Below are 20,896 nucleotides of genomic sequence, written 5' to 3'. Positions count from 1 at the left end.
CCCTGGGTAGAACACTGACACTGTCACCTCTCCATTTGTACCTTTTAGGCGGGTAGGCTGTGCCAGAGTTCCTTGAAGTGATTACAGTAGTCAATTCCCAGGCACATTCTACCTACAAACCTCTCATTTATTTTATTACTGAGACGTTTAAATCAATTTTTTTTTTTTACTTCATAGACATACTTTTTTCCAAAGGGCAGGGTATGTTCATGTGTGCACAAATAGGAGTATATGTTTAATATGGTTTAGTGGCACCCTATGTAATAAATGTGTTGAAATTTTATGTCTGGGAATATGGAGAATTATTTTCAAGTGTCTTCGTTTTTGCCTTTTAAGGGCTCATAAAAGATTATTTGCAACATACATTTACTTTGCACAACTTTCCCCCCACATATCATTAGTTTTTGTCAAATGTAGAAATTTAAAACCAGGAGCAAACATCTGTCAGACTAATTTTTTGCTTTTTCATAAGTGCAACTTTTTAATAAAAATTTACATCTAGATAAACAATCTTCAGATTTTTGAAACTTTAATAAGATTTTAAAAACATCATGACTTTGAACTGAAAAACATACACGTTTAGCACACAAATATTGTAATATGAATGAACTCCAACTCCATTTGAAAACATGTGAATCAAAGTACAGTTTTAGAAGTTAGTAATTCACATTTAAGCAAGTTAGCGCCTTGCTGAATACAGCCTTTGTAAAAAAGAGACTTAGTGCATATTTTAATGGTACACTGTGGTTTTGTACCATTTGGTTGAGTTTTTCGCTTTATTAAACAAGTTCTTGAAAGTTGGTAGATAAAGGCTAACTTCCTATGACGTGAAATTTCCAATGGTAACAGTTACATTTTGTAACAGAACACTTTCTATAGATTTCTTTTCCTAGCTTAAAATTTTAAAAGCAATCATTTGTAAGGATTGCATCAACATCAATTTAGCAGAGGAAGATCAAACTTTATTGAAACTGCTTGCATACAAAATATATTGCACTATAACCAAACAAATGTCAACATAAAATCCAATCTGTTGTCGCTAATATGTACAGAGAATATTGCCCAAGAGCAGTTACATTACAAGGTCATTCTACCTTGGTTAATTATCTACAGTATTTTAAAACCAAACAGCTTACAGATGATGTGTGCAAGGTACCAATTTCTGTTTTCAAATACTATACATTCCCAGAATAAATAACTAGAAATCAACATTAATGTTTGGCAATACTTTTTAAAAGACTTTTTAATATTTGTGAAATCATGTGCAGTTTGTTGCCATTTTATATGCTTGTTTGTATGCAAGGAAAAGTAACTGTAAAATGAAAATTCAAAGAAACAAACTCACAAAATACATCAGAGGCAGAACTTCAGTTTTTACGGCTCTGTACAGATTCAGTGGTACCCCTACTAGGAGTTACTTTTTAAGAAAAATATAACATCTTAGAGTGAAGGTCCTTCACATATTTTTCCTCAATAAATTTCACTTAAAAAAAAAAGACTCAAAAAACAAAACCAAACCCCAACACTTCAAAAAACAAAAGAAAAAAAGAAAAAAAAGTTGTTATTTGTTAACCGATCTTAGTCTTTTCCAATTCTGCTTAAACATTAGACCATATATTTCAAAGTTTACAAAACATTTAACCTGCTTCCAATGTTTCTTAGACAAAGTACCTGTACTTTGCAGGATTATTATGCATACATGGAAATGACCTTCCTATCTCTCCAAAATAAGCTTGAAATTAAAATATGAAAAATTTCACAAAACTTGGGGCAGACAAAATTAAAAAAAAAAAGCTCTAAGTTAAAATTGGTCATCAGGCCAAAGAGCAGGCATATCCTACTAACTTTCGACCAGGAAGATTTGTTCCTAGCTGAAAACATTTTAGCCTCTCTCAGATGAAGATAGTTCTTTCTTCTCCTGTCTATACAGAAAAATTACACATCTCTCTCAATAACACTATTTATCAAACTTCAGTGCAACAAAACAAAAACAAAAACAAGTCCTATTCTTTATACTGCCTAACCTGATGTTTATGTAAGGAAAAAAATATGGAAAGCATGCATTCTTCTATAAAGTACTAATGTTTGACAGGGTTTGCTACATCTTTAACATTTAGTGTTTCCAACTTATCTTCCCTGAACTCTGCATCCAAATATAATATTCCTACCTGCCAAGATATAAAAAAGGCACAGATCATACAACTTTTTTTGCTAATGAAAATGACAAATGTCACATCACACACATTTCAGGGTCCACTAAAATACTGGAAAAGTGGACCAAAACATAAACTGACACAGGACATGAAATGACATAGCATTTCATGAAGACTTCTATACGAGATTGAAAACAGAAGTCTAATATGATTACCATAAATGCTATATATTAAGAAAAACTGAGAATGTACTGGTGAATGATCACCCAATGCAGGAAAATGGTCCAAATTAACAAAGAATATCACTGCTCAGTACTTTAGAAAATAAAACTAAAATCTGCCCTGAAGTGCTAAGTAGTTTTAAAAGCAATGTTTCAAATTTTAAGGTATCTTTTTGTGCAAATCTGAAAATTGTTGCTTATGGCCAATACCAAAAAATAAAAAATTCTTAGCATAATTTGTGTTCATTTCATGCCCTGTGCCATCTTGCCTACTATTTGTCTTTGGCCTAACAAAGTTTTCTAATATGGAATAAGAATTACGGAAATGGTATAGGAAATATAACTTCAGAATTATGCAGTTTAGGGTACTCCATTCACGAGTGGTTGCTGACCATCCACGCTGTCTGGCTTCTCTTTCTTCTGGTTACGATCTTTACCCGTGCGCAGCCGACTACCTTCACTGGAGGTATTCTGTAATGTTTTAGTGTGGACACTCCTTTCATTATTGCAGTCAACTCTGATCTAAAACAAGTTATAGTTGTTATATACACAGACCATATCCTACTGTAATCTGTAATTGGCCTGACAAGAAATTTAAACCTGAAGTGTAAATTCCACATGTTAAAAAGAGAAATGGAGATGAGAACAGAAGAAGTGCAAGAAATTAATGTAAGGTAGGATTCTTTATTTGGTTTATGATTTTAAAACACTCTTCTTCTTTAACTGGAACACACTGGTCATCTCACTGCATCCAAAGTTAGAGAAAAACTCACAATCCTATCATGTCTTCTTCTAAGTAGAATAAAACAGTGAGAAACAAACAGGTAAAATGAATTACTATTACTGATTACCAGAAGACATACATGCCTCTAACACTAGAGTTAAAATAAAATTAGTTATTCTCCAAAGATTGTGAAGCCCAGGAAAAGAGAAACAAAATGTTTTCCTATTCTGGCTTTACCCTCAAATAACTCACTAACTAGACTTTAATTTACATCTTTATATCTATCACAGGTATGATCAAGTTTCTCTATACTGAGAGCTCCCATAGTCATACAGTAGAAAAACACGAGCTTTGGTTTCTACTGGCTTGTATTTCACTAAGAAAATTCAGATGATCCTACAACCTGAACTCTGTCTGAAGAATGGAACAGTATAAAGAAAACTGCATATAATAATTTGTGGAAGGACTGGAATCCTAGGAGAGTATAAAGATCAATGTAATTTAAAAAATAGTGTTCTAAGAGCTATAAAATATTTTAAGTGCCAATGCTGAATACAGCACTGCTAATTCCAGAGGTACAAATGAAAGTTAACAGTGACAAATGGAACTAAAACAACTACAAATATTGATCTACTTCAAGCACAAATGCTAAAAACATCCCCAAATGGTTGTAATTTCAAAGTATGTTTAAGTAGTGGGTATGTGCATGTGTTTTAAATGTCTCGTTACCAAGGATTCAGTACTTTGATTTGTATCTTTTTTTTTTTTTTTCCCAGACAGTCTCGCTCTGTCGCCCAGGCTGGAGTGCAGTGGCGCGATCTTGGCTCACTGCAAGCTCCGCCTCCCAGGTTCACGCCATCCTCCTGCCTCAGCCTCCTGAGTAGCTGGGACTATAGGTGCCCGCCACCATGCCCGGCTAATTTTTTGTATTTTTAGTAGAGATGGGGTTTCACCATGTTAGCCAGGATGGTCTCGATCTCCTGACCTTGTGATCCACCCGCCTTGGCCTCCCAAAGTGCTGGGATTACAGGCGTGCGCCACCGTGCCTGGCCCTTTTTTTTTTTTTTTGAGATGGTGTTTTGCTCTTGTTGCTCAGGCTGGAGTGCAATGGCAAGATCTTGGCTCACTGCAACCTCTGCCACCTGGGTTCAAGCGATTCTCCTGCCTCAGCCTCCCGAGTAGCTGAGATTACAGGTGCCCGCCAACACGTCTGGCTAATTTTTTGTATTTTTAGTAGAAATGGGGTTTCACCATGTTAGCCAGGCTGGTCTCGAACTCCTGACCTCAGGTGATCTGACCACCTTGGCCTCCCAAAGCGCTGGGACTACAGGCGTGAGCACCGCGCCTGGCCAGATTTGTATCTATTTTCATACTTAATAGAGAAAACATCACCTTTTAAATTCAGTATTCCATTTCATTTAGAAATATAAATGTGCATCCTTTTAACCAATGCAGTTAGACTGCCAAGTTCATCAAACATATCAGTTTAAGTGGAAAATTACAAAACGGGTACTTAAATATCTTATAGCTTTGTAAAAGACAGGTACATACAGTAATTTACCAATCTATCTATCCCTTGGACATGCTGGTCCTTAAGAACCCACCAATAGTTAACACTTACTTTGAGCTGCTATGAATTCCAAGAAATATTCCATCATAAACTTTGTCTTAAAAAGTATCTCTCACTAATCTTGGGTGATGGTCCCAAATGAATCCATAGTCAGGAAGGAACCCTAACTACTTAATAATTAAAAGTTACAGAAAAAGTAGACGACAACATAGATTCAGAGAATCAGACACTAAGGTTTGACTATCATTTGGACATATGCTAGCTATGTGACTGTGGGCAAAGGACTGAAGCTACAGTGCACTCACCTATAAAGTGGAATAATAAAACTACCTCAGTGGGTTGCTGTAAGATTAAATGAGATAAAACATACACAAAGCACTTAGCAAAGGTGCCTGGATGTGCTCAGGAGATAATTTTAAAATTATTTAACAATTGGTTTAGCACTGGTGACAGCCAATTGAGAAGAGATCCTCGGACTAGGTCCTGGCTGTAAATAAGCAGATGACTGACCAAGCATGGAGACTAGCTGAATATCATCAGCTCTGTCTATCATGATTATTAGTTGTAAGACAGACACCTTCTTTTCCTTATTTTCTATTCAAAGAGAATACCCTATCCCTGTTAATTTGGGGGAGCAAAGACACATAAGGTTTACTGAGGTCTCTAAGTACATCCCAGGATGTTCCTTCTCTGGGGGATTGCAGGTCTACCAATGTGGTATTAAAATCATAGTGTGGCTGGGCACAGTGCTCACGCCTGTAATCCCAGCACACTGGGAGGCCAAGGTGGGCAGATCACCTGAGGTTGGGAGTTCAAGACCAGCCTGACCAACATGGTGAAACCCCGTCTCTACTAAAAATACAAAAATTAGCTGGGCATGGTAGTGGATGCCTGTAATTCCAGCTACTCAGGAGGCTGAGGCAGGAGAATCACTTGAACCCGGGAGGCAGAGGTTGCTCTGAGCCGAGATTGCGCCATTGCACTCCAGCCTGGGCAACAAAAGCGAAACTCCCGTCTCAAAAAAATAAAAATAAATAATAAATAATAAAATCATAGTGTGGCTGTCAAGGTCTTCACAAATACTCAGACTGCATATTCTCTAGAGAAATCCTCTTATTTGTATACTTGTCACAAAGAACTAAGATTGACTACAATTGTAATGTTGAAGGTAAAATATTTCACATAAACTGGATTTGTAATCTTTGAACATGTTTTTAATAAAGTAAAATAAACTCATAAATCTCAAACTACCATATTCAAACAATTAAGATGAAAAGAGGCAGACAGGTTTTACCTGAAGGGATCCATCTGTTGTTCTTCCTTTAGCCTCTCTTGGATTACGTGGACGATTATCTGTTCGGGAGTGATCGTCGTTTCCTATGAGAATATTTTCAAAAGGTTCAACAGTTACTGATTCTGAAATGCTTACTGGAAGTTCTTTATTCCCACACCCTCTATTTAAACCAACCACAGAATCTGAAATGTAATCAATACCCCAGTGATTCCAGTTACACAATGGCTAATAATCTAGCCTGCTGCTAAGTAACAGAAAATATTTCACAGTTATTATAATTCTGCATCTACAGGTCAATGTGAGTTAATGAAGGGATGCTGTTTAGACCCACCAAGATGCTGAATTAGTTATCAGCATTTATTCATATATCTGTATGAACCATAAGGAAGGCTGCCTAATATTCTTTCTTTCTACACAAGTGGAAGGCTGATCCTTTCCTATGGTATCAGCACAAAACGGGAGAGATGGGATCTTGGTAACAGTTCATTGCATCAATAGGATTTCTCATGGAACTTCAAGACAGCTGTTACAATTCACTTTGATTTCTTAATGAAGATCTCCATACCTTTGAAGCCTCCTCCACGTCCTCTTCCTCCTTGTCCTCTTCCTCCCCCTCCACGCCGCCGTCCGTCTCCTCTGCGCAGGAAGCTCTCCCTCTCTTCCTCTGTTGGAGCTAATGACCAATCACTGAGTTCGTCTCTGTGGTCAGATTCTGTTTCAGAAGCATTTGATGCTTCAGAATTAGTTCCTATCGAGAGTTAAAAGTTATATACCATTGTCTGACTTTAAAAAAAAAAAAAAGAGGGTTAACAGAAGCTTCCAGAGACGTTTCAGGGGTAATCCAAAACTCTTCCCAATTTATAAGCCCACAAAGAGTATTATCACTTTCCATTTCATAAAACAAAATTTTAAACTCAAAATGAAGGGCTTTGCAATATTTGAGGTTAATTTTGGTTATAAACATGTTTCATTCTCATTTTTAAAAAGGTATGTTATTAGCCACCTAAGTTCAAACCTTGATGTGCCATATCATTAAATAGCTGTGTTCCTTTAAACATCTATACTCTCTGGAGGAAAAGATTATCCACGACAGTTAAGTGTGATACCCTGATAAACAAAACCTCTAAAAAGAGAGCTCCTTTTAGCAAGATTTGGCCCAGGACAGAGGGGAATGTATATATTTTGGTCATTTCTGAGAGGGTGGCAAAGGAGGCCACCATGGCAACTGCTTCAGGGAAGGGTCTCTTGTGGGTCATGGATTGGATCTAGCTGAAGGCAGATACATGCTTGCCTGATGTTTGGTCCACAACCTGCCCTCCCACTCCCATTACAATAATTGATCATTAATAAAGAATTACTATAATAAATTCATTATGCCTGAAGGGGTTAACGACTTAGAGGACAGGAGCGGAGAAAAAGAGCTCCACGGTGAGGCAGAAATTCATGAGTAAAAAGAACAGACTGTTGGGAGAGGGGTTAGGGGTTAGGTTCAAGGTTGGCCTTAGGAGTAGGTAACTCTCCCCAACTCCAGAATATCAGCTCTACTACCTCTCTCTTCCTCTGTTGGAGCTAATGACCAATTATAGCTTCACCATTATAGCTTCATTCCTGTGGATCTTGAAGGCTTTTCCATCTTAAAGAGTTCCTTTTTGAAATGCAAATATGCGTGAAATGGATTATACCTTATACCATCATTAGCAAGTTACAAAGGAGATACACTGTTGAGCAAGAAAGACAGTAGGCACTGGCAGGTGGGGATCAGGTTCACTGAAAGGTACTGGGAGAGAAGAAAGAAGCACGGACAGAAAAGCTGGGAAGGCAAAGAGAAACTTCGCCTACTTCTTGACTGTGCCTAGGGCTGACTTTGGCCATGTCACTCAAAATCACCTTATGAGCCACAAGAGGCAGACCCCTGATTTACACAGTCCATCCAGCAAGTATGACCAGCACATACCTGACAAAATAAAAATGAGCCACAGTACACAAATGAAAAAAGTTTTGACTATACAGTTATAAAATCAGGAGAGGCCTTAAGAAAATCATCAACACACAAGGGCTTTGCAGATTTACCCCCAATCAGAGCATGAACAGAACTTGCACCGGCCCTGTGAACTCTACGTGTTTATCATCAGGTTTTTACTCTATGTCTCCTGTAACACAATTTAACCCACTGTGAATTGGAAACCATGTAGCGGCAAATTGTTATAATGGGGTTCTAATGAATATTAGAGATTAGCAGCTATAAGTCTAGGAACAGATAAAGTTACTGAGTAAAATGCTTAGTTTGTACCTGAAGTATATCCAGGACCGCGTCTGCCGTGCCCCCTATTTCTGTAAGGTCTACTACCTCGACCCATTCCTTGACCATCATCAGTCACATAGCTTTTTTCCTTATCTGTACGATTTGGTGGTGGTCTAGAACTAGCTCCAATCTGTCGCAACTGCTCATCAATTTGTAATCTCTCCAAACGCAACTGGTCTACTTCCTATTTAAAATATACAAGATAACAGTAAAAATAATTTGACATTTTACTTAATAAAACCTTTCTCCTTTTCATCAGATAAAAATATACTGGAATATTTCAATTTCAGTTCTAAATTTACAGTAAACACTGTTACACAGAATTATCAGGAAATTGAATGATCTCCTTAAAAAGAAAATTACTACAGATAACAGATTATTGATGTCAAGAATTAGAGATATAACAAAAACACTCAGCAGTAAAATTATACTGAATAAAATTTAAAGTTGTCTAATTTGGCACTATTATCCAATTATTCTACTGCTAAGGCACAGATATGCTATTTTGGGGACTTCTTCATGATAGGATATTAAATAAAACATGCTAAAATGTATGAATATAGATAAATGACATTCAAGGTATAACCAGCTAACCTTAAAAATCACACATTGTAAATAATCTTGATTAAAATAGATTTGCCAGTTAATATCTTAATTTACAAAGCATTGAGTTTGGGCCATCTTTTGTTTTAAAAGAACATATACTATGGTTAAGGAACAATGATTTTTTCATCAACTGAAAATGCTGACTATTCCTCATGAGGGGAAAACAAAACTATTTAATAGCTGACCAGACAGCTAGGTCTTACATCATGCCTTGAAAACTTCCTAAAGACTACAACTCTGCTACAACAAGTACGAGAAACAGTATACATTTAGTTGATAGAAATATACACCTGGGGTCCAATGACAGACCCTTACAAAAAGCACTTCCAGTATGTTGGGTTCTGTTAAAACCAGATGAAACCTCATTTCTAACCACTGTCCTTCCAATCCACTCATAAACATCTCATTTACTGGCTACGGGGAATCAGATTCATAACTATAGTAGTAGTAGGCGTCTCAGTGAAGCAGAGGTTATCATAGAGACTGTCTACATGAACAGTCATTGGAGAAGCTCCTGTAAAGCTAAGTTTCTAAAATCTTGGTTGTGGCAGCTTCTGGAAAAGAAAGGTCAGGTAAGGATTTGGTCCGTTTCATCTGTGCTCTGCCATCATTAGCAATTTACATAGTTACACCAGAATCTGTTTTACATAGAATTTGAGCAAAGGAGAGACTGCAGCTGAGTGAGTGACTTCCTCCAAAGGTATAGTAATAGCTCATGGAATAGGAATATCTTGCAAAACAGAAGAGTAGTCCAGGTTATCCCACTGGGGCAAAGCAGTCACCTTTTGGTGAGAGATGCCAGGCCCAAACGAGGGAAGTTCTGGTGATGGAAAGAATGGCAACAGGGCAGCTGCTGATAACCAAAGAAGATATTCTTGAGAATAAATCAAAGGATCTAAGAAAGAACATTAGTCAAAAGAACAAGGGATTTGATACAATGCAATCCTAACTCTCCAGGCCTTCATGATGATTTAAGCTAATTACGAGAGAGACACACACACAGAGAGATTACACATAAACATACTTAAAAAAAAATCAAAGAGGTATCCTACCCATGTAAACCTTGCTGGATGAAACCTTTCCACTTTTAATTAACTGGCCACCATAAGAATGAATGGCATGCCCAGTATTACACTTTTTCTTCCTTTCATTCTTATTTACACACAAGCAGAAATCATGTACTTTTTATTTCTTTCAAGAAATCAGCAAAAAAATTCTTAATGCCATAAATAGAGTTGAAATGCTTTTTAAAAACATTTAATACCAGCTACATTATAATTTTGATATGTATGGATACAAATAAAACATTATGAAAATGAAGTAGATCAGTTTCCATTTCATTAAAGTATAGAACATTTTGGCCAAAAGGAATTTCAAGAAGCATCTAGTGTAGGGAAGTGACTTGCCTAAAGTCACACAGCTAGTTCATTTGCTGAAGTCTTATAAGTAAATTGCTGCATTGCCCATCCAGTGCTTGCTCCACTACACCTTGTAGCCTCCTCGTTCCTATCTTCCAGTTTGAAATTTTAAGGAGGCATAACCGCATCACACTAACTAAACTGAACATTTATGAGAAGACACAAATAGTTTGTATTTTGAATAACAGTAAAGAGAAAAATAGGGTAAACATTTAAACAAAGAACTTCATGAAATGCTTAGATTTCCTTGATAAATGACATAAAAGGAACAATAAAGGCAAGAGTTATAGACACAGATTTTTGTCTGGAAAAAACCAAAATGCTAGAAAGGATCAAATGGATTAACAGGCTATGTACAGGATTGCCTAAACTGAGTGTAAGGGTTTAAGAGAAGAATAAAGGGAAGTATAAAATTTTATTGAAAACTGGTATATTGGTACTTAAATTTATAAAGACTTCCATTTTTAAAAAAATTATAAGCCAAACAACGTATTTTCTCTATTACCTTTGACAAGTCATACAGTGTTTTGCACAGGCTAGAATGAGTCCTAACTGCTGAAAGATCTACTATAAAGTTTGTATATTTTAGTACAAAAGGATTAGAAGTTAAAGTTCTTTCTGTTCTCACCTTTAAATAGTTCAGGTGATAATCCAAAAGAACAGTGGCATTAGCGATGCTGTCCTTTGTTCCCACAAAAACAAATGGTACCATACCCTGAAAAAGAAATTGCAACAATGATCCTATAAAAGTAATGATAGATTAATCTGAAAAATGCAAATAACGACTAATTCCCTAGCACAGGATCTGGTGAACAGCAGGTATACAAATGTTTGCTGTAAATATAAATCAATATATGAAAACAAAAGTAGTTGATATACTACTTTACACATCTACTGTGAATACGAATAGATCAATAGCAACCTTTTAAACGTATCAGATTATTATAAAGACTAGTATTCAGTATCAGCAAAATCACAAAATGTATAATTCAAAATTATACAAGCTTTACCATGAGATGTATAAACAAAATGAGTAGTATAAGATGCTCTAATTCATTTATGAAAGGCTTTATCCTGATCAAAATTTTTTCTTTTTTTTTTTTCTTTTTTGTTTTTTTTTTTTTTTTTTTGAGACGGAGTCTCGCTCTGTCGCCCAGGCTGGAGTGCAGTGGCGGGATCTCGGCTCACTGCAAGCTCCACCTCCCGGGTTCACGCCATTCTCCTGCCTCAGCCTCCCAAGTAGCTGGGACTACAGGCACCCGCCACTACGCCCGGCTAATGTTTTGTTTTTTTAGTAGAGACAGGGTTTCACTGTTTTAGCTGGGATGGTCTCGATCTCCTGACCTCGTGATCCGCCCGCCTCCGCCTCTTTTTTTTTTTTTTTTTTTGAGACAGGGTCTTTTTATTCTGTTATCCAGGCTGGAGTGCAGTGGCATGATAATGGCTCGCTGTAGCCTCGACCTCCCCAGGCCCTAGGTGTTCCTCCCACCTCAGCCTCCTGGATAGCTGGGACAACACGTGCATGCCATCATACCCAGCTAAATTTTTGTACTTTCTGTAGAGACGGGGTTTCGCCACATTGCCCAGGCTGGTCTCGAATTCCTGGGCTCAGGCGATCTGCCTGCCTTGGCCTCCCAAAGTGTCGGGACTACAGGCATGAGCCATCGCGCCTGGCCGATCAAATTCTTAAAAAAAAAATCAAAATGAAATACCAAGGGTACAAAAGTAAAAAGTAAATCATTTCTGCTAACCAAGTAAATAGAGTACACACAAAATACAAACAAAAACATCAGGATAAAAATGCACTGAATAATCTGTGAGACAAAAAAATAGGTACATTGACAAGCATTAAGTTTTATCAAGCCCATACACATTTCAATAATGTACTCTGAAAATTTTAAAAGGCTGAATCACAAGGAAAGTTTGAACTTCTCTCTATGGACACTACTTAACATAAGAACAGATTTTTAAAAGGCATATGCTAAATGTCTGTACTCCTAGCCCATATATATATATATTAAGAGGGAAAAAAAAAACAACTACTTCTTGTCACAAGTTATAGGGAAACCTAGAAACAATTGTGCAAATTAATAACTGGCAATTCATTTCTGCATGTTGGGTTTTTCTCCAACAAGCTTTATTTGTTACAAAAGCCTTTAACTGTATTATTTCCCAAAATACCATGTGATGGAATGAATGCTACACCCTTCCCTCTGGGTCAAATATCACCAAAATAGCTTTAAAATCCTATGTAACAGATTTAGTTAGATTGACTTCGGAGCAAATTATTTACGAATATCTTTTCTTGCAACATGTCTAAACTGCTGGAGTACCCCAAGGGCCACTCTAATTTAAGCACTTCACGAGTAGACCTGAATAGTAAATTAAAATGAAGAAAGGCAAGAATGGAATGATGGCCTTTAGTACGGACCCCAGAAAAAAGTTACTCTGTGTTCTGGAATAATGGGCTGCCCGGCAATGAGACATATCCAATCCACTTGCCGTTATAGTCCTCTTTGTAAAATGGCACCTTTGCTTTTAATCCATGAGTCCACAACATTTTTTTCCATAAACAGTTCTCACCAGCTCTCCCTGCCCTCAAAGAACTTACAATGTGGTTGAGGAGATCAACAAATAAACATCTATGTTTAAGTGCTATGCTAGGGGTGAGCACATTGCAAAACAGAAGGGGAAGGCTCTTGAACCAGTCAAGGGGGTGGGGATCTTCGGCAAGTACACAAGGAAAGCTTTGTAAGGAATAAGGTCAAAATGAGGTGACATGTGGAGGAGAAAAAGCATTCCAGGCAGAGTAAACCTGTACATATGTCTAGAAGCAAAATAAGCACGAGAATGTTCAGAGAACTCAAAGTACTTCAGTATGGCTTAAGGTTCTCTAGAGTGCAAGGGAGAAGATAATTTAAAGATGATAACTAGACAAGTAATTAGGAAAAGCCTTACAAGCGGCATGAAGGTGTTTAAGCTTTAACTCCAGGGCAATGGATCCACATACCCACAAACACTCCTCCCTCCAGTCCCTAATCCTGAGGATCATTTGTAATCTTTGTTAACAAGGGGAATAAACATTAAAATATAAACTGAAAGTGTATTTCTCAAGGAATGTTTTCCTACCTGCCAAGCCTTGAGTTCAGGTTTCTGGGATTCCCCTGCTACAACTGATGAAGCCACTAACACCTAAAGCAGTATAAGGAATGCAAGGGATGTCATTAACTATAACAAACGATACACAGAAGCCTGAACGCAGGACTTTCACTGCAGGACTTTTAAACCCATTTCTAAACAGATTAGTTCAAACAGAGAAAATTAGTTTCTAAAATATGGTTCAAGTAGTAACTAATGCAACTAACAGAAGGTGTATTTTGAGCTACGATACCTGCAAAATTTAAAGAGAGAAGGCATGGAAAAAAGAGAGTCCACTGTCAAAAGAAAAATGTGACCACTAAATGCAACCCCATTATTTTGTGTTTATGGCATAAGAGTTGTTACTGTGAATAAATTGAAAAGTATGTATCACACTAATTTGTAGTATCTCATAAGCTGGCAATTACATTTGGAAAAAAAATAGAACATAAGTAGCCTACAAGTCTAACCAGAGAAAACATCCAAAATACCAATTGTGACATCTGAGACAAATTACTTGTATTGTAATTCAAAGTGACAAGTAATTCTTACCCTCTGGACTTTTGTACTGTTAGGTTGAGAAAAATGGGTGCTGTTTTCCTTTATATCTAAATGTTTTTTTTCTTCTGGGGCATTAGGTCCAACCCTTGAATTATTGGAAGGAAGGGAATTTGGTGGCATAATTTCCTTGGTAAAAAACAGAAAACACAAAAGAGAAAAAAAGGACCAATTTAAGACTTTATTTAGCTCTATTAGTGTTATCAATCATCATATTTTTAAAAAATGTAAGTTATTATAAACAGTTTTGGTTTATAAAATTACCGAATACAAATTGTACGCAGAAAAAAAAGATTTAACTTTAGCTAAAAGAATCTTTCAAAAAGAAAGCTAGACAATATGTGAAAATTACGGCTCTTTGATGAGACAGTATCTTAAGAGTACTATTGCACAGAAAGGTGCATCCTCACCTCTCTACCCCATGCAAATACTTTAAAAGCTGCTACAAAAAGCATATATTTATGAAGATAAAAGGGTTACAGAATTTAAAGGTAAGGAGGATGGGGAAGAGATATTAAGCACAGAAATAAATTTAAAGCACACAGAATAAACACACATACTACACAATCCCCACACTAAAAAAGTGAAAAGATGAAAGCCAGAAAACCTGTGTTCCAATTTTGCTTTTGTCAGCAACATTAACATTTACAAAGTGCTTTACGAAGCATTTACATATATATTATTTTATTAAATTGCCATTAACACTCGACCCAGTGATGTATGTCTCATATTTAAAAATTTATAACTACCCATTTTAAAGATCAGGAAAAAAGAATTCAATAAAGTGACTAATCCAAACTCACTGCATTAGAGGACAGAGAAGGGCCATTATCTACAATTATAACATTAATTACAGCAGGCATGCTTGATAATCAGAATATTTGCATTCACTTTATGCACATATTAGAGGTCCTCAACATATCACATAAAAAACTTTTACTTTTATTATATGTGCCACAAAATATTCGCACTGTAACATACCTCTTCTTGTGGAACATTTTTCTCATTTTCAGCCTCAATCCTCACCCTCACAACTCCTGACTTGTCCACAATCTCCTGAATCAGCTTTCCATTTTTTCCTATTACTTTGCCTAAGAAATAAATAAATCAAGTTTGGTTTTAAAAACACATACCTCAAAGCAGTAAGCACAGCCCTACTGTAAACTATTACATTCATATAGATAGATATTTTTATGTGTATGTGTATGTATTGAATTGTAAGATTTCAAAACCAAAGTAGAGACTCTTTTCAACAAGATGGTTAATCTGGTTTTCTGTTTAATTAGGACATCATTGTTTAAACTCCTTTGGTCAGGTACCAGAGTTGATTAATACTTGCAAACTGATAGGGTAATTTTGGATTTTTAAGGCAGTTCAAAGATAACCTCTTATTTTTGCACAAAAGGGTACGCTTTAAACTTGCTGGTACTGTGGTATGTATCATTCTTTCTGCAAAGTTCTATAAGAATTAAGAAAAAAGTAGAGAGAATGGGAAATATATTCACTTATTCAACACTTTCAATTCTTGTCTGTACCTGATTTAAATCTGCTTCTTTGTCCATGGTAAATATTTTCAGAATTCTGTATGGAAGGCACATTTATAAAAGATAATCTAAGTCTGAAAGTGGCTTAAGCAGCTATACATACATCCAAAAGGAATACAAATTCTTCAAGGTCAATGTGTTAACAGAGTATCACTCCTGTGCATTACTTACAAACTTTAGCAATGTATTAAAAAGTGAAGGGATTAGTCACAGAGTAAAAGATTAAGAAAACCCACTTTAAGATAACTCAAAACCACAATGAAAAAGCTTTAAACCAATTTAAGTATTTTTCAGTAACATCTATTAAAACTTGGGATTTCAAGTACCAGTAAAAAATAGGTACTTGATCATTTCCTTATTTATTTTACAATCATATACATTACTGGAAAATGACTGCTTTCATTTGCATCATGACACGAGTGGTAAAGCAAGACATTACAAACTTAAGAATTACTAATTCTGGAAATGTACATGTGAACTACATCTGATTCTGAGGGCTCACCCAAGGTACCTAAGTACCCTTACATTGGCCACATCCACCATGTGCTTGCCCTCACCATCTCATCTTCCATTTTTTCCTTTTCGCCTTTAAAGGCAAAGCTCAAGGCAAAGTTGGGGGAAAAGATGGAAGCAAAAATTTGCTTTGAGCCAATGCTAGATAAGAACTCAGTGAAAAGCCTTCTCACAAAAAATTCTTGTGGCTCTTGTAATCAGAGCATAGCTTTGACATTCTTGCTGTGTGTGGCTGCCTCATTCACCCCTAGAAACTCTTTGACTGGTCATAGAACAGATCTGACACCATTAAATCAGGATTCTTGGTCTAGGTCCTTCTGTCAATTATTTCTGTTCTTCTATAACGAAAAGGGGAAAGGTGAGGTGAGAGAAGCTACTTGGAGTCTTCACACAGTTTGATTTTAAACTGCAACACTTACATTTTCATGAATTAATGTTGACTTTAATAAAGATCTAAGTGAGTTAACAAAATGAAAAATGAGATTTGGGGATGTTTTTATTAAGATAATATCTTAATTATCCTAAGTACTGTGTGTTAACTATAGCTGACTGAATAGTCATACCAATTCATTCTTAGTGAGTGAAGAATCCAATTTTAATGAAAAGATAAATTAGTGCACATACCAAAGAGAGTTTGTGAAAAATAGAGATCACAAATAACGTTGGTTGACTCAAACAAAACACATGCAAAACTGATTATGACACCTCTCTAAAGATCTGCCTTGCAGAATCTTACACAAAAATGCTTTCTGAAAAGTTCCAACGTTCCCAGTGTTGCAGTGGACCATCTCTAAAACAGAATTATCTCATTTTACTAACTAGAAACAACAAAACAAAAACAAGGCTGATTTACTTTTAGCAGTCTTTCTGGTTATTTCTGAGATCCTCTTCTTTCCAGGTAACCACAGGTAGAATCTACTTTTAATATTTAATAGCAAATAATCCAATTCTACATTACACTTATTTCCAAATCCCAAAGAGCAATTTACTGTGATTCTGTTCTACTGAAATGGAGTTGTTTTGAATAAGGTGAAGAACAGAGTCCCCTACTGTGTCCAGAATTGTCCCCTACTATATCTTCCAATTTAATTATCACATCAACTCTATGAGGTGGATCCTATTATCACATTTGATAGGTAAGAAAAATAATTCTCAGGGGGGCTAAGACAGTGACCCACGCTCACATTGCCACCAAAGAATAAAGTAGGACTGAAATCCAGATCCAACTCCAATGCCCAAGCACTTTCCCCACTACCATCATGCCATCTTCAAAACCAACTTTAATGAATCTGACACATAATTCTCTACTCATTTGCTATTAAAAAAAAAAAACAAAACAACTACCAGCTCTTTTTCCATAAGAATTCCTAAATTTACAATAACCTTTCTAACTACAAAAGGTATGCAATTGCTTGACAAGCTGTAAAGAAGAAAATAAATATTATTCATCACCCAACTGTCTTGAGATTAGCACTTTATCTTGCGCTATGCATACATTCTGTACACATACAATTGGTATGCAAGTTACCTTAGTAACATTACAAACACATTTCTCCAGTTGTCTGTAGTACACAGTTGAGCTAACACTTCTGCATTATTTTCCTACTATTTGCACTTTATCTTCAAGCTAATTTTCTTTGGGAGATACATTTATCATTTCTAGTGTTTGTTAATGACAAGGAAGATGTTTATGAGTCTATGCTGACAAAAAAGCAGGCTAAATTAGCATTGAAACTACGTAAACAGAATGTATGAGAAGTCCTTGCTTTCTTCTTTAAAGTTTCCAAAGAACATGTATTACTTTATATAAAATGGCCATGATCTCAAGTTTAAAAGATAAAAAACATATAGGCAGTATGTCCCAATTTTATTTACAAATTAAAAACATATGTAGCTTTCTTGATAAAACTGCACCTGGTTTTGATATGTTCTACTAAAGATATCTGCAGCATTTAGGAGTATTGGTGAAGAGCTCCTAAATATTTGCTGATACTCACGATGGTGATGGTGATAAAACACTACTCAAGTCAAAATGAAGAATTACTATTGACTTTGCAGAAAGTCCCAGAGACATCTGAAGTTTCTTCTAGCTTTGGAACTTTTTAGATTTAAGTAACCTATGTTCAGATCTTCAACCCTGAGATAATTAAAATGAATGCTATCATTTTATAGTCCCATAAGAAAGATCAAATACAAATCTATTTCAAATCATAAAGTCCCCAAATATCATTCATTTTGAAAAATTATTTAATTTTAAGATATAAAAGGTATACAGTCAGGAGGGCTGGGCAAGATTTATCCTTTCAGGTATTAGTAGGTTTGAACTAGAAAAGCAATCTCTTTTGAATACCTTCTGAAAATGTAACCTTTGAGCATCATACTTAACAAATATTTTTTTGTATGCTGTAAGAACAGATCGATTGAACAATGAGAACACATGGACACAGGAAGGGGAACATCACACTCTGGGGACTGTTGTGGGGTGGGGGGAGGGGGGAGGGATAGCGTTGGGAGATATACCTAATGCTAGATGACAAGTTAGTGGGTGCAGCGCACCAGCATGTCACGTGTATACATATGTAACTAACCTGCACATTGTGCACATGTACCCTAAAACTTAAATAATAAAAAAAAAGAACAGATCATATTTCAAAGACTATGTTTCAATTAAATGATACCCTCCAGTAAGAAAAAATGGAATTCTATCACTATAAATAAACTGTTTACCTAAACTTAGTTGTTGTACTATATGTCAACAGATACTTCTGACTTACCTACTAAGTTCCTTGGAACTTGTATTACATCTTCAGCAAATTCGAGAAAGCTTCTAGCTTTTTTCACTGCATCCTGATCCTAATAAAAGGGGAAACATTTTAAGACAAAAGATTAGCCAGCTGAAATACTTGTTTGGGGAAAAAAAAACTATGCAGTAAAATATTTACCTCTCCATAAATATGAAATGTGCAGGTATCTTCATCTAGATCAATAGCAGTGACCCCAGGTACTTTTCTAGCTTGCTGAATATTAGCACCATGAGTACCAATAGCTAGACCCATCAGATCTTCTCTTACGATAAACTGTTCATGAAATCTCGAGGCAAGCTGCCTTGAACTCTGAAGAGAAATGGACGTCTGATGAATACACTTTATCAACTATTACGACAACTGTATTTAGGCCAGCCATGTAAATTATCTTGACCCTGTATATGAGGGGTCCATAAATTATTAATAGTTTTAGGTTAAAACTAACAGGTTTTAGAAAATACCTCTCACAGCCTAAGTACTTTTTAGGTTACTAAAGGTCTATGACATTTTATATGTTTTTGTTAATAGGAAAGAACTTGTTGACATTTTCCAAGGTAACTGCTGAAAACTTATCACAAGGCTGCCTTAGTTAACCAATGACATCAGCAATATAATAACTAAGAAGCAGGTCAAATGTTCCCCAGTAAAAACCAGCTCACTCGGTCTGACAAACTCAATGTTACTTATTTAGGTAAAAAAATGTTTAAATATCATCTTTATAGAAAATTTTATTCGCTTCATTTTTATTAAAAGGTATCAGTATATATTTTCTGGAAACAGTGCCATTTTTTATAACATCATTAGGTACTGTGGTCTAAACATTCCTCTGTTGAAATGACATTAAAATGACACCTCCCTCAAAACCTAAGGAATCAAAAATTGTTGGTACAGTAGTTAAACTGAATAATCAAAAAATGTCAAAAATTAAAAACTTAGTAAGCATCTGAAAGCTAACATGAGACCAGAGTCCGTAAGACCTTGTGATCTGGATCCACAATTATGATGAGCACTTGTAAATATCCAGTGATGACGAAACTAAGTTACACTGACATCCCAAACTTGTGGATAACCACTGTCTTTAAATACCATTATCAAAATTTAGTGTTCAGTTCTAGCATGCCATTAATGAAAACCAAACGTATTAGTGGCTCATGTTGAAAAATGGGAATTTCTTATAGGAACATGTAAATCTCTTTAATATTAGTAGTGAAGAAAGATAGGCATGCATACTAGTTTCTCATTGTTCAACAGACCTGATAATTTGAATGAATGAATACAACTAGCATAAATAATTTAAAAGTGCAATACCCATTTTTTTTAGACTAGAGTAATAAAATCTATAAAATAATTCTAGGACTTTTCAAGAAGTCATGTTTTTTGAGTCCTGGTTCATTAATCTGGTTCGTTCTTTTTCATTGATAATTCACTGATAAATGGTTAGCCAAAAGTATGATAGATCATTTAAGAATAATTCGATGTTTAAGAGGCATATGAGTATATTTTCATAATACTCACAATCAAAGTAAGGAGGCAGCTCTGGGCTAAAAGTTATGAGAGAATCACTGAAGGAACCACAAAATCATGAACACAGGGACATCAAGAAAGAATGAGAGCAAAGACCAATTAAACAGACCTCCATGGCCTTAAGAAAAAACAAAGTGGCAAAAGGAGATTAAACTTTTCCCCTTCTGCTAAGAGTTCAGCATCATACATCAAGTTGACAGGTGGCAAATTTCACAGGGTTTTTATAAGAACACAGTCTTGACTACCTTTTCTCCTAAAATGCAGTTTGGAACTCCTTTTTTTCTTTACTATTTCAAATGTGTGGTGTTTTCCTTCTAATGAATAATGATGACGAACTCTGGAATTTGACAGGAATATAGTAGAGCTGGCACATTCATCTAAGATCCACTTAGTTTCTATAGTAATGGATGGACGTACTTGATAGTTATCAATGAAAACAAATATATGGTGATGAAAATTATTGGAGGATTAATAAAAGTAGATAAAATGCACCTTAAGAGACAAAATAGTAAGTTAGGGAAATAGCC

General features: G+C 35.8%; 1 protein-coding gene across 7 annotated transcripts in view; it reads right to left on the bottom strand.

The window, feature by feature from the left end:
• Positions 454-20,896, bottom strand: part of FMR1 (fragile X messenger ribonucleoprotein 1) — a 39,207-nt gene continuing 18,764 nt past the window's right edge. Inside the window, exons 8-17 of one of the 7 annotated variants that reach the window (NM_002024.6) lie at positions 18,984-19,154; positions 18,816-18,894; positions 14,966-15,075; positions 13,979-14,113; positions 13,418-13,480; positions 10,917-11,003; positions 8,253-8,448; positions 6,528-6,710; positions 5,963-6,045; positions 454-2,896 (exon numbers count right to left, since the gene is read on the bottom strand). In NM_002024.6, coding sequence (NP_002015.1) covers positions 2,735-2,896; positions 5,963-6,045; positions 6,528-6,710; positions 8,253-8,448; positions 10,917-11,003; positions 13,418-13,480; positions 13,979-14,113; positions 14,966-15,075; positions 18,816-18,894; positions 18,984-19,154 — 1,269 coding nt within the window. In that variant the 3' untranslated portion in view covers positions 454-2,734. The remainder of the gene's footprint in view (positions 2,897-5,962; positions 6,046-6,527; positions 6,711-8,252; positions 8,449-10,916; positions 11,004-13,417; positions 13,481-13,978; positions 14,114-14,965; positions 15,076-18,815; positions 18,895-18,983; positions 19,155-20,896) is intronic. The other 6 variants (NR_033699.2, NM_001185075.2, NM_001185076.2 and 3 more) reach the window with 6 other exon arrangements.

This window comes from Homo sapiens, chromosome X, assembly GCF_000001405.40.
Source record: "Homo sapiens chromosome X, GRCh38.p14 Primary Assembly".
Taxonomy (NCBI): Eukaryota; Metazoa; Chordata; class Mammalia; order Primates; family Hominidae; genus Homo; species Homo sapiens.
The sequence above is the reverse complement of the archived record's forward strand: the minus strand, read 5'-3'. Positions and strand labels throughout refer to the sequence as shown.